The following is a 14,437-nucleotide window of genomic DNA, read 5'->3' on the forward strand; positions in this document are numbered from 1 at the left end:
GCGTGGAGAATGGCCAGGAACTCCTGCTATCACCCAGGTGAGAGATGATGGAGATGTGGACCCAGGTGGTAATGGTGCATATGGCAAAAATGGGCTGCAGCTTGGAAATATTTGAAGGCCAAGCTGAAAAATTTGCTCCCAGATTGGATAGTGGGGCTGAGAGAAGATGGGTCGGGTTAAGTGTTCTAGGTTCAGATGTTCTGTCAGTTTTCTTAATTAATTTTCTGTTACTGGGCATTAGGGAGGTTTCTAGCTTCTCACTGCTGTAGGCAAGATGGTGGTGAACATCCTTGTAGATGGTTCTGTGCGCTGCCCAGAATGAATTTTCTAGGGTAGATTCAGTCCTTCTAATGCAGCATTTTCCAACCTTGGCTGACTGTGCACCACCTGCACAGGTATTTACTTGAAAGCGGTATGGGGTAGTGGTTAGAGCATTCATCTGTGCCAGAGGCCTGGGGCAAATCCCCATCTCTGGTGCCAGAGGAAAGGGGGCATCTCGAGGCTGGGGAGGCCCCTGGCAGGAGTGAGAAGTCCTGAGGAGCCCGGGCTTCAGGTCTCAGAGGGGGCCACTGTTTTTTGAGTACCTTCCTCTCTGTGGGACTCAGTTTCCCCATCTTCACCATGCCAGTGAGTGGGTGGGTGTAAGTGAGCGAGTCTGCCTGGAGGATCCTACTGCTGCTCTCTGCACCTCTTAGGGGAATCTCCTGCCTCCTCCTTCTCCCTTGGTGGGCGTGAGATCAAAGTTCAAATGTGTACCTCAGTTTCTGCATCTATAAGTTAGAGGCAATAATAGTCAATACCCTAGAGGTGGAAGTAACTGAGTTACTGTCTGTAAAGACTAGCACATGGTAAACACTTTCTAGATGCCAGTTATTTTCGTTATTTTTAAAAATTGACTTCACATTTTTTAAAACAACCAAATATGAGTTTCAAAAGGAACATTTACATTAACATGTTAAATGGAAAACCGGTGTCATTTGCTCCGGAGAACAGAAGAATGTAAAATAAAATATATTTAATGGAAACAAAAACAATGCTATTAAAGCTAATTAGATAGTTTCAGAGCCAAGTAATCTAGGCAGTGCTAGAAAGGTACTCAAACCCTATTAGTACTAAACTGAGAAATAAACTCCATTCAACATAAACGGAAAAACTGAAAGGAAAATGAAAAAAAAGAACCTTAAATGACCAGTCCACTCTTACCTAACATGTAACCTGTCACACTCTGGAAAAGTTTTCCTAGTTTTGGCTGTGTGTGCGTGTGTGTGTGTGTGTGTGTTGGGAAGTGAGGCGTGTGTTGGGAAGCGATGTGTGTGTTGGGAAGCGATGTGTGTGTGTTGGGAAGTGGGGTGTGTGTATATTGGGAAGCATGTTTGTGTGTGTTGGGAAGCGGTGTGTGTGTTGGGAAGTGGTGTGTGTGGGGTGTGGTGTGTGTGTGTTGGGAAGTGGTGTGTGTGTGGGGTGTGTGTATGTGCACGTGTGTGTTGGGAAGCAGTGTGTGTGGGGTGTGTGTGTGTTGGGAAAGCAGGGAGTGTAGTGTGTGTTTGTGTTGGAAAGTGGTGTGTGTGTGGGGTGTGTGTGTGTGTGCACGTGTGTGTTGGGAAGCGGTGTGTGTGGGGTGTATGTGTTGGGAAAGCAGGGTGTGTGTGTGTTGGGAAGTGGTGTGTGTGTGAGTGTTGGGAAGCAGGGTGTGTGTGTTGGAAGTAGGGGGTGTATGTGTATCGGGAAGCATGTTTGTGGTGGGGGGAAGCAGGGCGTGTGTGTGTGTGTATGTGAGTGTTGGGAAGCAAGGTATGTGTGTTGGGGGAAGCGAGGGCTGTGTGTGTATTGGGAAGCATGTTTGTGTGTGGGGGGAAGCGAGGGCTGTGTGTGTGTATTGGGAAACATGTTTGCGTGTGGGGGGGAAGCAGGGCGTGTGTGTGTGTTGCGAAGCGGTGTGTGTGTGGTGTGTGTGTGTGCGCGTGTGTGCTGGGAAGCGGTGTGTGTGGTGTGTGGTGTGTGTGTGTGTGTATGTGTATGTGTTGGGAAGCGGGTTGTTCCGAGGACTCCCCGATTCCCTCCTGGTTGAAACGTGGCCCAGAAAGAGAGGCACACTGGCTAGGGCACACAGCCAGGGCCGTCCAGCCCCGCAGGAAGCCCCGGTCCTGCCCTGTCCCAGGTAAGCCTGGCCAGCCCTGGAGCCGGCGCTGCGGGGCTGCGGGGCTGCGGGGCTGCGGGGCCACGGGACAGGAGCGGGTGCTGCGGTCCCGGCAGAGCAGGGGCGGGGTCCGGGCGGGGGCGGAGCCGAGCGCCCGCGCACCCGGAGCCGCAGCCCGAGCCGGAGCCGGAGCCGGGAGTCGTGGCCCGGAGTGGGCCTTGGAGTCGGCGCGCAGGCGGCTCGCGGTGAGTGCTGTGCCCAGCGCCTGGGGGTGGGCTGGGGGGAGACTGTGGGCGCCGAGGGTCCCACCCCCGGGACTTGAACACTTGGCTTCTGAGCCGTCCTGGCCGCAGGGCTTGGGCAAGGGTTGCCTCGGTTTCTCCTGGGGGAGTCCCAGAATGTAGATGGGAAGTGAGACGGAAAGGGGGCATCTCGAGGTTGGGGAGGCCCCTGGGCCACTCTTTTGATTTCCTTCCTCTCTGTGGGACTCAGTTTCCCCAGCTTCACCATGCCAGTGAGTGGGTGGGTATAAGTGAGAGAGTCTGCCTGGAGGATCCTGCTGCTGCTCTCTGTACCTCTTATGGGAATCTCCTGCCTCCTCCTTCTCCCTTGTTGGGTGTGAGATCTAAGTTCAAATCCATCCCTTCCCAGACAGCCCACACCAGGACCTGCGAGGCCACATCCCCCAGCTGTTTGCTCTCCTATGCTTCTCAGGTTGATGGAGCAGCCATCTGGTCCTGCTTTCATTCCAACAAACTGAAAAGCCCTCCACCCCAATCCCCCTGGGGAGGACCTCCTGAAGCTGCATGAGGGCTGGGGGCTGGACCCCTGCTTCTGAGTTTGCTCTTTCTGAGCCTCTCCTGCCATGGCCTTGGTTTCCCCATGGGCTGTGACCTAGCCTCCTCCAGGGTCCTTGTTCTACAGAGGGGAAACACCTGCCCTGTCACCCTCCCCTGACCCCTTAGTGAAAAAGACCAGAGTGACATCCCCACCACCTGTACTTGCCTGTCCCGATCACTCAGCCATGGGGCTGCTGGGGCCCCTGAGTTTGTTGGCTGCTCAAGGCCCCTTTGCCTCGCTGCACCCTGGGATCTGAGGCTGGAAGCATCCTCATCCAGCCCACCTCCCTCCTACCCAGTGCAGAGCCCCTCTGTGACACATGCCCAGTGGTGGGGAGCTTATTACTGATGAGGTGGCTTTTTAGTGCCTTGCAGCTCTTGTTTCCTTTAGCTAAAATCTGTGGCTTACAGATTCTACACCTTGGTTCCATGTCTGTCTCCCGGAGCCATGCAGAGCAAGTCAGTTCTTTCATTCTTTCCAGCAGTCATCATTCATGCACTGGATGAGACACGAGACAGAGCAGTAGGAAAATCAGACAAAACCCCCTGCCCTCATGGAGTGCACACTCTAGAAAGGAATGGACAGCAATGAAATAAGTAAATACATGGCGTAGCAGGTGGCGGGAAGTACTACGAGTAAAACAAAGCTGGGAAGCAGGATGGGGTGCTGGGGCTGGGTATTGCATTGTATATAGCACAACCAGGGAAGGCTTCCCCAAGACCACGATAGCTGGGCAAAGTCATAAGGAATTGAGGGGTGAGCCACATGAGTATCTGGGGGGCTGGGAGGCTTTGGTTTTCACTCTGAGCATGATGGGAGCACGGGTTTGGAACAGAGGAGTCACCTGCTTTGACTTGGGGTCTGGCAGGCCCATCTAGCTGTGGGGTGGAGAATGGATCATGGGGGGGGTGGGGTAAGGGCAGAAGGAGAGCCCGTTGAGCGGATCATTGCTGTCATTCTCGGGAGAGACCATGGTGTCTTGCCCATGGCCCAGAGGTGGTTAAAAAAAAGAAAACCAGACATTCAGATTTGGGATATATTTCAAAGGCCGTGTCGATAGGGTTTGGGGTGCAAGAGAAAGGTAGAGTCAAAGATGATTCTGAGTGTTTGGCTCGAGCTTCTGGAGGTTTGAAGCTGCCATGAACTGAAATGGGAGTTGCTTAGCGGAGAGATCAAGAGTTTGGTTTTGTGCTTGTGGAGTTTGAGCTGCCCATTAGGCATCAATGATGAGTAAGCAGTTGGGAAAAGTTAAGGGCGGAGGTTGGAGTTGAAAATAAAACTTTGGGCATCATCACCATATAACTGGTATTTAAAGCCACAAGAGCAGGTGGGCTCATCTAGGGATGGAGTGATATGGAGAAGAGAAGGGGTCTAACCATTGAGTGCTGGGGCCCCCAGTGTTAGGAACCAGCCAAGAAGACAGAAAGAGTGAAAATCAGAGAGTTGGGGTGTCCTGGAGGAAATGAAGAAAATGCCCCAAAGAGGAAGGAGGGAACAAATATGACCAATGCCCCTGGCAGAGCAAGCAGGCTGAGGGCTGAGGATTGAGCAATGGGAGGTCACTGGTGACAGTTTCACTGGAGCTGGATGGGGAACTAGAGGGAATGGGAGGGGATGGGAGGACTTGGGGACAGCAGTACAGGCAACAGACAAGGGGGCCTGCTGTAAAGGGAGCAGATAAATGGGATTGGAGCCAAATGAAGAAGGGGAGTGTCAAGAGAGTGCTTTACTTTTACAATGGAGAATTAGAGTGCATTGTGCACTGGTGGGGGGATTTGATCTCTTAGGGAGAGAACAGTGTTAGGGAGGGAGAATGCAGGATAGCTGGGGGAGGGTGGGGGGCTTGGCCCCAGCAGAGACTCAGGACACTTGGGAAGTTGAGCTTCCCTGGGCTTCCCCTCCTCTCCTGTCTGCAAGGGGTCAGTGGGCTGAGATTTCAGCACTTAAGCAAAGCATTTGCTCTTGGCCCCAGAGAAACCGGGCTGGCTGTGGTCTCAGGAAGGAAGGAGGTGTCCAGGCTCAGGCCTGGGCCTGGGTTTCAGGGAGGGCCCACGTGGGTCGCCCCTTGACCCTCTCTTTCAGCAAGGAAGTGATCCTTTCTCTACATGGGCCTCACCTTGGGGAGGACAATGGTGTCTTTGAAGTTGTAGTAACTGAAGTAGAGATCAAAAGGCAATGCAGATAGACTGACAGATTTCGCCTGAAGAGGGGAAGCCCGACCAGGTAATAAAGGAGTAAGAGGAAGGATGTTAAGGACAATTTTAGGAAACAGATAATGAGTGAATATTTTTTCTCTCTCTTTCCCAATTTAAACTGAAGCAGGAGAAACTGAAGCTAGACATAATGATTAACTTCCCAAGCTGGTGAGCTTCCTGAGCTGGTTAGTGAGAACAGCACTAAGGCCAGGTTCTCCTCCCCAGATGTTTAAGATGAGACAGGACAATGCCTGCTCAGAGACAGGGCCTGGCTGAATTGGCCCTCAGGATTCTCTCTGCTCTGAGGTTTCTGGAAGAAGGCCAGGGCAGAGGTGTGGTGATGTAGCTGCTGGGAGGACAGAGCTCCGAGTCACGTGGCTTGGGCGGGCCTCCCCTTCCTGGTGTCCACAGAAGCCCAACGTCACTAGCTGGGGTGTGTATGGCTCACACGTAGGCCAGGCTGCCCTAGGCTTGGTGTGCAAGGGAGGGGCCCCTACTTACTTGTGGCCTGTCCCCTCGTGAATGTGTCTCATGTCCCCAGTGGGGTTTTTCAGTGAGGGTCATGGTCTCCAGGATGCACAAGGCTTTGTGCCAGAATTGCTTGGAATTGCCTAGTTCTGGAAGGCTGGTTGGCCAACTCTGGCCTCCGGCTTTTCCTTTGGGAATTTCCCTTGAAGGTGGGGTTGGTAGACAGATCCAGGCTCACCAGTCCTGTGCCACTGGGCTTTTGGCGTTCTGCACAAGGCCTACCCGCAGATGCCATGCCTGCTCCCCCAGCCTAATGGGCTTTGATGGGGGAAGAGGGTGGTTCAGCCTCTCACGATGAGGAGGAAAGAGCAAGTGTCCTCCTCGGACATTCTCCGGGTAAGAGGAGCAGGCATTGTCCCGTCCCAGCTTGATCCTCAGCCTTCTTTCATCCTTGGCCGCGACATGCTCCCAGGCCTGGGGTCAGATGGGGAGTGCTGACTCTGTTTCTGGGCTGTTTTCTGGGGAGAATGGGTCGGCGGGTTTTTTTCCCCAGGACCTGGGCAGGGTCAATGGTGGGGGCCGCTGTCGCATCCTTGGCTGGTGTTTCCACAGCTGAGAACCACTCCAGGGCCAAGCCCAGAGCTTATTCTACCCTTTTTTGTCCTCTCTTCCCCTGTCCTCGGCCACCCCACCCTCTTGGCTCCTCTGCTTAGATGTGGGCACAAGGAGGAGAACTCCTTGGCCTGAGAGAACTACCTTAGATCCTGGCTTCCAGTGGCCTCTGCAGGGGGGTACACCCTCTCTCCCAAGCAGCCAGACACACAAGTAACCTCATTGCCTCAGTTTCCCCATCTGACCAGCACAGGGCCCCCTGTGCCCCAGCAGCGTTCTGAGAGATTGGAGCTTTCTCCTTTTGCTTACCTTGGCTACCGTATGAGGACGGATACAGAGTGTTCCCCCCACCCCCAGCCCAGGGGATATTTGATTCATGAACATTCCCTCAGTGTCTTTGTGGGGGACAATGCTGTGCCAGGCTCAGGGATGCCAGGACGAGTAAGACCCAGGCTCCCACGTGGCCCAGGCAGGGAGAGAGACACATAAACAACCATCAGGAAAGAGGTAAAATCCCCAGGCCACTTGGCATCTGCTCCCTTGAGTGTCTGGGAATGTCCCTGATTTATAAAAAGAAGCTGACGGCCCTCTTTGTTGTCCATGCCTACACCCTTTCACTTTCGTTTCTTCGGGGCACTGCAGCAGCCCTTGTCCACAGACCCCATGACAATCGCAGAACTGACCATGCTGAGAGATTTTCTTGGCTGCTCAGGGACCCTGCCAGGGCTTGAAGCTCCTGGAGGGTCACTTGCCCTCAAATTCCCAGAACGCACAGCAGGTCACTGATGATAGCAGTGGCAGCAGTCTGTGCACGGTGGTTTCGAGGGCGTGGGAGGGAGGTGAGGGCCCTAGGGCAAGTGTGTGTGGGAAGTGTTGATGGGGGACAAGGCACCAGAACGCTCGGAAACAACTTAGTTTGCACCGTAATTTTTCACTTCGCCTAGGACAGGACCTTTAGAGCAATATTCTGAGTCTACCCCTTGGAGTAGCAGTGTGCAAAACACACAGCACGGGCTTGGGGCCCCCGTGGGGAACCCAAATGTAAGAGTTAGAGACATGCATTCCGGAGTCATACATGGCTCGTGTTGAAATCCTGACTCTGCCTGTCTAGCTGTGACACATCGTACAAATCACTTAGCTTCTTGGTGCCTCAGTGTCTTCCTCTGTAGAATGGGTAGATCATAGGCACTACTTCAGAGTGGCTGGGAGGGTTCAGTGAATTCCTGCAGGAGAGCACTTAGAATGGCACTTGGTGTGTAGTTTATGCTTAATTAATATTAGCCGTTACTGAAACTGCTGTAGCCTGAATCCAGCCAGCATGAAAGAGCCCCTCTCACCCTGCTTCGAAGAGAATGAATTCCCTGATTGTTTGGAAGATCTCTCTCTCTCTCTCTGTCTTTTTTTTTTTTTTTTGAGAAACGGTCTTGCTCTCTTGCCCAGGCTGGAGCGCAATGGTGCCATCTTGGCTCACTGCAACCTCTGCCTCCCGGGTTCAAGTGATTCTCCTGTCTCAGCCTCCTGAGTAGCTGGGATTACAGGCGCTCGCCACCACGCCTGGCTAATTTTTGTATTTTTAGTAGAGACAGCGTTTCACCGTGTTGGCCGGGCTGGTCTAGCGCTCCTGATCTCAAGTGACCTTGGGAGATCTCTTGCTCCTAATATTACCTCAAGCCTTTTTAAACGTTTTAAGCCGGAGACCAAGCATGGATATGGGAGTTAGGGGTCTTGATTTAATTCTTGGTTGCTTCAAACTCTGTGGAACCTTGAGGTGTTTCTTGCCTTCTCTGGGTCTCAATTTTCACATCTATATGGTGGGGAGCTTGGATTGGGTAATGTCTGAGGCTAGAACCATGGCCAACTCGGGTTCTGCTGGGGCTGACTTGCCCTGGCCTTCCCTGACCACCCTGCATCTGGCTTCTGGAGAAGTCCCGCACTGACCTTGTTCTCCTCCCCAGGTTGTGAAATGTGCTCGCAGGAGGCTTTTCAGGCACAGAGGAGCCAGCTGGTCGAGCTGCTGGTCTCAGGGTCCCTGGAAGGCTTCGAGAGTGTCCTGGACTGGCTGCTGTCCTGGGAGGTCCTCTCCTGGGAGGACTACGAGGGCTTCCACCTCCTGGGCCAGCCTCTCTCCCACTTGGCCAGGCGCCTTCTGGACACCGTCTGGAATAAGGGTACTTGGGCCTGTCAGAAGCTCATCGCGGCTGCCCAAGAAGCCCAGGCCGACAGCCAGTCCCCCAAGCTGCATGGCTGCTGGGACCCCCACTCGCTCCACCCAGCCCGAGACCTGCAGAGTCACCGGCCAGCCATTGTCAGGAGGCTCCACAGCCATGTGGAGAACATGCTGGACCTGGCATGGGAGCGGGGTTTCGTCAGCCAGTATGAATGTGATGAAATCAGGTTGCCGATCTTCACACCGTCCCAGAGGGTGAGGCACTCCTGGTGTGCATCACAGAGTTCTCAGGAAAGGGGTGCTTAGTCACCAAGACTGATTTGTCCTCATGAAGTCAGCCTGTGGGGTAACTTGGTCCATGGGATTTCCCCTAAAAAGGTAGCCAGGCAGGTAAAATTTGCTCTTGACTCTTGGCAGGAAACGTACAACTCTTTCTTTCTTCTTTTCTTTTCTTTTTCTCACTCTGTTACCCTGGCTAGAATGCAGTGGCACAATCATAGCTCACTGTAGCCTTGAATTCCTGCGCTCAAGTGATCTTCTGGCCTTAGAGTAGCTGGGACTACGGCTGCTGTACCACCATGAACAGCTAATTTTTTTTTTTTCTTTTAGAGATGGGGTGTTGCTATGTTGCCCAGGCTGGTCTCCAGCTCCTGGCTTTAAGCAATCCTCCCGCCTTGGCCTCCCAAACTGTTGGGATTGCAGGCATGAGCCACTTTGCCTGGCCAACAGAACACTTCTGCCGAGAGGAAGTGTGTGGTGGCCAGGAACTCAGATTCTGGAGCCAGAATGGTGCAGGCTCAAGGTCAACCCTGTGTGATCTCAGGCTTCCCTATGGAGCCTCTCCAGCCTCAGTCTCCCTTGTTTCAGTTTCCTCATCTACAAAACAATGTTAATAGTCAAATGGTGCCTATCCTATAAGGCTCTTGGGAGGATTCAGTGAGTTAATTTGAGTAATGCTTAGGATAGTGTCTATTACCACTGGCTGCTATTTATTATTTCTGTTATGAGTGATACTCTGTACTTGTACACTTTTATTTCTGTCTGTTTTAAATTAACAGCACAACAGACCATAACACTGCAGTATATTGAATTTATTTTATAATTAACATAGCATATTATAAACTAATATAGCTTAAATGTTTATGTAGGATTTCTGACATGAAATTGCATTAGATCATAGATGTTCAGAGTTGGTATATAACAGCCCCTGAGAATGTAGTAACTCAGCAGAGACCAGAAGGTCAGAGAAATGACCACTGAGTATTTTTGAAACTCTTTTGTTTTCTTCCAAATAGTGATTCTTAGGGCTCCTGAGAGGCAGATGGAACAATCATTAACATTCCACTTTATAAATCGGGAAGTTGAGACCAAGGAAAGTAGTTTGAATAAGCTCACAGTAGTTAATGAGGGGGCCAGTGCTGGACCAATTGGCCAGCACTGGTCATTGACTTATTCATCCATCATTCATTTATTCAGCCAGAATCTATTAGGTGCTTCATACATATTTGCTTAAAGTTTGTTGTGTTCATAGAGCTTTGCACACGGTAGGTACTCCATAAACATTTGTTGATGAAATAAGTGAGTTACTGAATGAATGATTGAATTAGAATGACACTGCAGTGTTAAAATGGGCTGGGTTGGGGAACATTTTAGTTTTTGTTTTTGTCTGTTTTCCAAAAATGTATGTGTTGTTCACATGAGTCTGGATAACCCTAGATTGAGATTGATGACATAAATAAATTTGTCTTCAAGGCTGCACTAAAGCTGGCTCACATGGCTAGGTATTTACAGAGCAGAAGTGGTGCAGTCCTCTCTGATTAGTTGCACGTACAGAAGACATATTCGTTATTGGACTGACCTTAGTTTCTCTTATAATTTGTTAGGGGAATTGAATCAGCCCATCTGAGAAGTTACAAGATTGTGTCTTGTCATCTTTAAAAGTTCAGCAATGTGATGTGGTACAGATGGTCTGAGGGGTTTGGAGAAGGTAGCCTAGATCCCTAGGGCCCAGAGAAGACAGGATGTGAACAGAGGAAGTACATGGATTGGTGAAGAAAAGAAATGGGATAACTCATGGGTCAAAGAAGAAATCATGATGGAAATCAGAAAATATTCAGAACCATACAATAATGAGAATATTATTTATCAAAATCTATTGGATGCAGCTAAAGCAGGACATAGGGGGAAATTTACAACCTTAGGTGCCTAGATTAGGAAAGAAGGAAGGCATTTGTTTATTTATTTGTTTATTTATTTATTTGAGATGGGGGTCTCACTGTGTCACCCAGGCTGCTGGAGTGCAGTAGCACGATCATAAATCACTGAAGTCTCGAACTTCTGGGCTGAAGTGATCCTCCCGCCTCAGCCTTCCAAGTAGGTGGGACACAGGCTAGCACCACCATACCAGGCTAATTTTTTTTTTGTAGACACAGGGTCTTGCTATGTTGAGGTCTCAAACTCCTGGGCTCAAGTAATCCTCCTCCCTCGGCTTCCCAAAGTGCTGGGATTACAGGCATGAGCCACTGCGCCCATCTAAGGCTGAATTTTAATGAGCTAAGAATTCATCTTAAGAAAGGGCTAAATAGACAGCAAAAGCAAACATTGAAGGTTGGGACTGAGCTGAGTGGGTAGCAGGGATGGGAGACAACAGATCTGAGGAGAGCAGGAGATTTTGAAAGGATTGCACTGCCTGAGGTTTAAGCCTTTAGAATCCAGCTCTCTCTGAGCTCCCTTTGAGCTCTGACATTCTGTGACTCTGATTTGGTGGCCTTCCCTTAGTGGCCTTACTGATTTCATTTGGATGGTGCTTGTGGTATATCCAACCAACATGTCTTCCCAAATGGCCTTTTAATTTCCTATAAAGAAGTAGTTGTCATTGATTGCAGGTTAGGGACAGAAAATGCTGTGGAATGAAACAAAATGCAAGTTAAAGAACTAAATTCCAAAAATACCCATTGCTACTATTGACTGAGTGAATTCCTACTGTGTGCCAGACACTGTACCCAGTCCATTCCCTGTATTGTTTTATTTAAGCCTCACAAGGGTATAGTGTGACTACACTGTTTCTTAACAATGAAGAAACTGCCCAAATCGCCCATCTGGGAAGCGGCCCAGCTAGAATTTGAATCCAGGCCTGTTTTCCTCCAGAGCTTGTGCTATTCTCTGTCTGTCATAAAATGTGGGGGCTTTGTGTGGTAAACTTGCTCAGTTGGGCATAGCAGTTGTTAGGAAACCTGAGGCTGGTAACACCAGCTGTAATACCAGCTGTCCGTCTGACTCATGCAACTGTTAAAGTTGATAGGGCTGAGGTGTCAGACTGAGCTCTGAATTGCCTGATTCCTATAACAATATTAACTTAAACATTTTTTAAATTGGGAAATGCACCATGCATACAGAAGAGTGTGTATATTTCATATGTATAGTGTAAACTGTTCCCATCACCCAGGTTAAAAAACAGGATGTTGCCAGTACCTGGGGCCTTCTTTAACTGCAACTGCTAGAGGTAAACACTGGCTTGACTTTTGTGTAAATCATCTCTTTGCCTTTCTTTAATGTTTTAGCATCTTTTAAAATAAATCCCCAAATAATGTATTGTTCTATTTTGAAAAACTGAGTAGCAAGCCAAAAATAGCTGTGTAAAGAAAGGTCACTTAAATTAGGCTGGGTGCAGTGGCTCAAGCCTTTAATCCCAGTACTTTGGGAGGCTGAGGCAGGTGGATCACAAGGTCAGGAGATCGAGACCATCCTGGCCAACATGGAGAAACCCCGTCTCTACTAAAAATACAAAAAATTAGCCAAGAATAGTGGCATGTGCCTGTAGTCCCAGCTACTCGGGAGGCTGAGGCAGGAGAATCGCTTGAACCCGGGAGGCAGATGTTGCAGTGAGCCGAGATCGCACTGCTTGAACCCGGGAGGCAGAGGTTGCAGTGAGCCAAGATCGCACCACTGCACTCTAGCCTGGGTCACAGAGCAAGACTCTGTCTCAAAAAAAAAAAAAAAAAAAAGAAAGGTTACTATTGCCTTTTCTTAGATGAAGGTTCCCAAGGCAGGGAAAGCTAAGTGGAGTCTCAGGGACTTGGTCTGGCTTTTCCTTCCCTGGGAATTTATAAGGACCTCTTCTGGGAAGTCAGTCGGCAATGCCATGAATGAGTCTGGGGAAATATTGGGCTCATTGCAACTGGAGGGTCTGGTAGGACTGATGTGAATTAGGTGCTGTGTCCGGAGGAAAATGGCCAGAGGAAGTGGGCTGCTTTGTACAGTCAGTGGTAAAGTTGCCAAAGGCTATTATAGCTCACAGGAATGGGCCAAGGCTAAACACTCCTGTGGAGTGAAATGAATGTCCTCAGCTGACTGAGGCAGCGGGAGTTGAAAAGAAACGATATTAGTTCATGGTGAAGACAAGTCAAATATAGATAAAGGTTAGGGTCAGGCTTGCCTGGACATCTAGGAGATAACTGCCCTCAACTTGTTTGAATCTTGAGTCACTGCTCCATTTTGTTTGAACTGGTGGCCATCTACTTATAGTATACAGCCATCAACCTGAGATTTCCCTACATGGTCTTCCTGCCTTGGTCTCCTGTATCCTGAATCCTATGGCCTCTTCTTCCCTGGTTTACTACATTTTGCTAGACCGTATCCTCCAGTCAATTCCTTAGAATGAATGTATGAAAGTTAAAATTTCTGAGGTCTCACATGTCTTAAAGTTCCCTCATACTGGATTGATAGTTTGGCTGGGTATAAAATTCTGGGCTGGCCATCATTTTCCTTCAGAATTTTGATTGCATTATTCCATTATCCTCTCTTTTCAATATTGCTTCTAAGAATTCCAAAACCTTTTTTTTTTTTTCTTTTTGAGACAGTGTCTCACTCTGTCACCCAGGCTGGAATGCAGTAGTGTGATCTCAGCTCACTGCAACCTCCACCTCCTGGGTTTAAGTGATTCTTCTTCCTCAGCCTCCTGAGCAGCTGGGATTACAGGCACCCACCACCACACCCTTTAGTAGAGATGGGGTTTTGCTATGTTGGCCAGGCTGGTCTTGAACTTCTGACTTTAGGTGATCTGCCTACTTCGGCCTCCCAAAGTGCTGGGATTAAAGGCGTGAGCCACCACACCCAGCCTCCAAAACCATTTTAAAACTCTTTCTGGAAGCTTTTAAAATTTTCTTTTAGTCCCCAGAATTTTAAAATTTCAATTATGTGCCTTGGTGTTCTTCCATTATGTTAGTCACCCAAGAGGTACTTTCAATCTGGAAACTTCTCTATGTTTTGGGAAATGTTCTTGATTAGTTTACAGGTGATTTCTTCCTCTCCATTTTATCTCTTCTCTTTTCATGAAACTACTATTAATTCAATGTTAGAATTCCTTGACTGATCATTTAATTTTCTTCTATTTTCCATCTCTGTGTCTTTTTGCTCTACTTTTCTATGATAGTCACAGCTCTATCTTTAAACTCTTGAGTTTTTCATTTTTGATGTCATGATTTTAATTTGCAAGGGGTAGGTTTGACTGATTCTTTTTTGTAGTATCTTACTCTTGTTTTATGGATGCAACATCTTCTTTGACTTAAGGATCATAAGATAGGTGGGTTCTTTGTTTGTTTGTTTGACTGTTTTTCACCCTATGTAAACTTTTTCTACAAGTTTCTTTCCCCTTCCCCCCTTTTTGGCTTCTATCTCCCACATTAGATGCTTTCTCTGGGCTCATGATACTCTTTGGTTTTCTTTCTCAAGATTGACAGGTAGGACTTTAAAACTTGTTGAGCATGCGGGTGAAACTTGTCTACCATGAATTTCACTGTAGATATTTTGGAGATTGACAGTGTTTATATCTTTAGATCTCGCCTCCTGGGTTGATCAAGTTATCTGAGTACACCACAGACCTTTTGCCTGGGGATAAACCAGAAATCTGTTTCAGAAACCACTTTGATTCAGTCTTCCTTGTTTTAGTCATTTCCTTCAGTTCCGGAGGTCCCTCATGCTGATCATTCCAGAGCCCTTTACAGATCCTAGGGTACACAC

General features: G+C 49.0%; 1 protein-coding gene across 18 annotated transcripts in view, besides 5 other annotated features; it reads left to right on the top strand.

The window, feature by feature from the left end:
- Positions 2,046 to 2,555: a silencer, noted in NCBI's record as "silent region_7489". NCBI's record gives its function as "represses an Ori minimal core promoter by ATAC-STARR-seq in GM12878 lymphoblastoid cells {active_cell/tissue: GM12878}" and the evidence as "EXISTENCE:reporter gene assay evidence [ECO:0000049][PMID:35858748]".
- Positions 2,326 to 14,437, top strand: part of NOD2 (nucleotide binding oligomerization domain containing 2) — a 39,470-nt gene continuing 27,358 nt past the window's right edge. For 11 of the 18 annotated variants that reach the window (NR_163434.1, XR_007064895.1, XR_007064894.1 and 8 more), the window contains exons 1-2: positions 2,326 to 2,382; positions 8,208 to 8,674. Coding sequence is in view for 10 of the 18 variants with exons in the window: in NM_001370466.1 (NP_001357395.1) it covers positions 8,216 to 8,674 (459 nt within the window). In the remaining 8 variants the exon portion in view is untranslated. The other 7 variants (XM_047434453.1, XM_017023536.2, XM_017023537.2 and 4 more) reach the window with 5 other exon arrangements.
- Positions 2,926 to 2,975: an enhancer, noted in NCBI's record as "active region_10822". NCBI's record gives its function as "activates an Ori minimal core promoter by ATAC-STARR-seq in GM12878 lymphoblastoid cells {active_cell/tissue: GM12878}" and the evidence as "EXISTENCE:reporter gene assay evidence [ECO:0000049][PMID:35858748]".
- Positions 3,216 to 3,295: an enhancer, noted in NCBI's record as "active region_10823". NCBI's record gives its function as "activates an Ori minimal core promoter by ATAC-STARR-seq in GM12878 lymphoblastoid cells {active_cell/tissue: GM12878}" and the evidence as "EXISTENCE:reporter gene assay evidence [ECO:0000049][PMID:35858748]".
- Positions 5,200 to 5,249: an enhancer, noted in NCBI's record as "active region_10824". NCBI's record gives its function as "activates an Ori minimal core promoter by ATAC-STARR-seq in GM12878 lymphoblastoid cells {active_cell/tissue: GM12878}" and the evidence as "EXISTENCE:reporter gene assay evidence [ECO:0000049][PMID:35858748]".
- Positions 6,601 to 6,960: an enhancer, noted in NCBI's record as "active region_10825". NCBI's record gives its function as "activates an Ori minimal core promoter by ATAC-STARR-seq in GM12878 lymphoblastoid cells {active_cell/tissue: GM12878}" and the evidence as "EXISTENCE:reporter gene assay evidence [ECO:0000049][PMID:35858748]".

This window comes from Homo sapiens, chromosome 16 (genome assembly GCF_000001405.40).
Source record: "Homo sapiens chromosome 16, GRCh38.p14 Primary Assembly".
NCBI classification, from domain to species: Eukaryota; Metazoa; Chordata; class Mammalia; order Primates; family Hominidae; genus Homo; species Homo sapiens.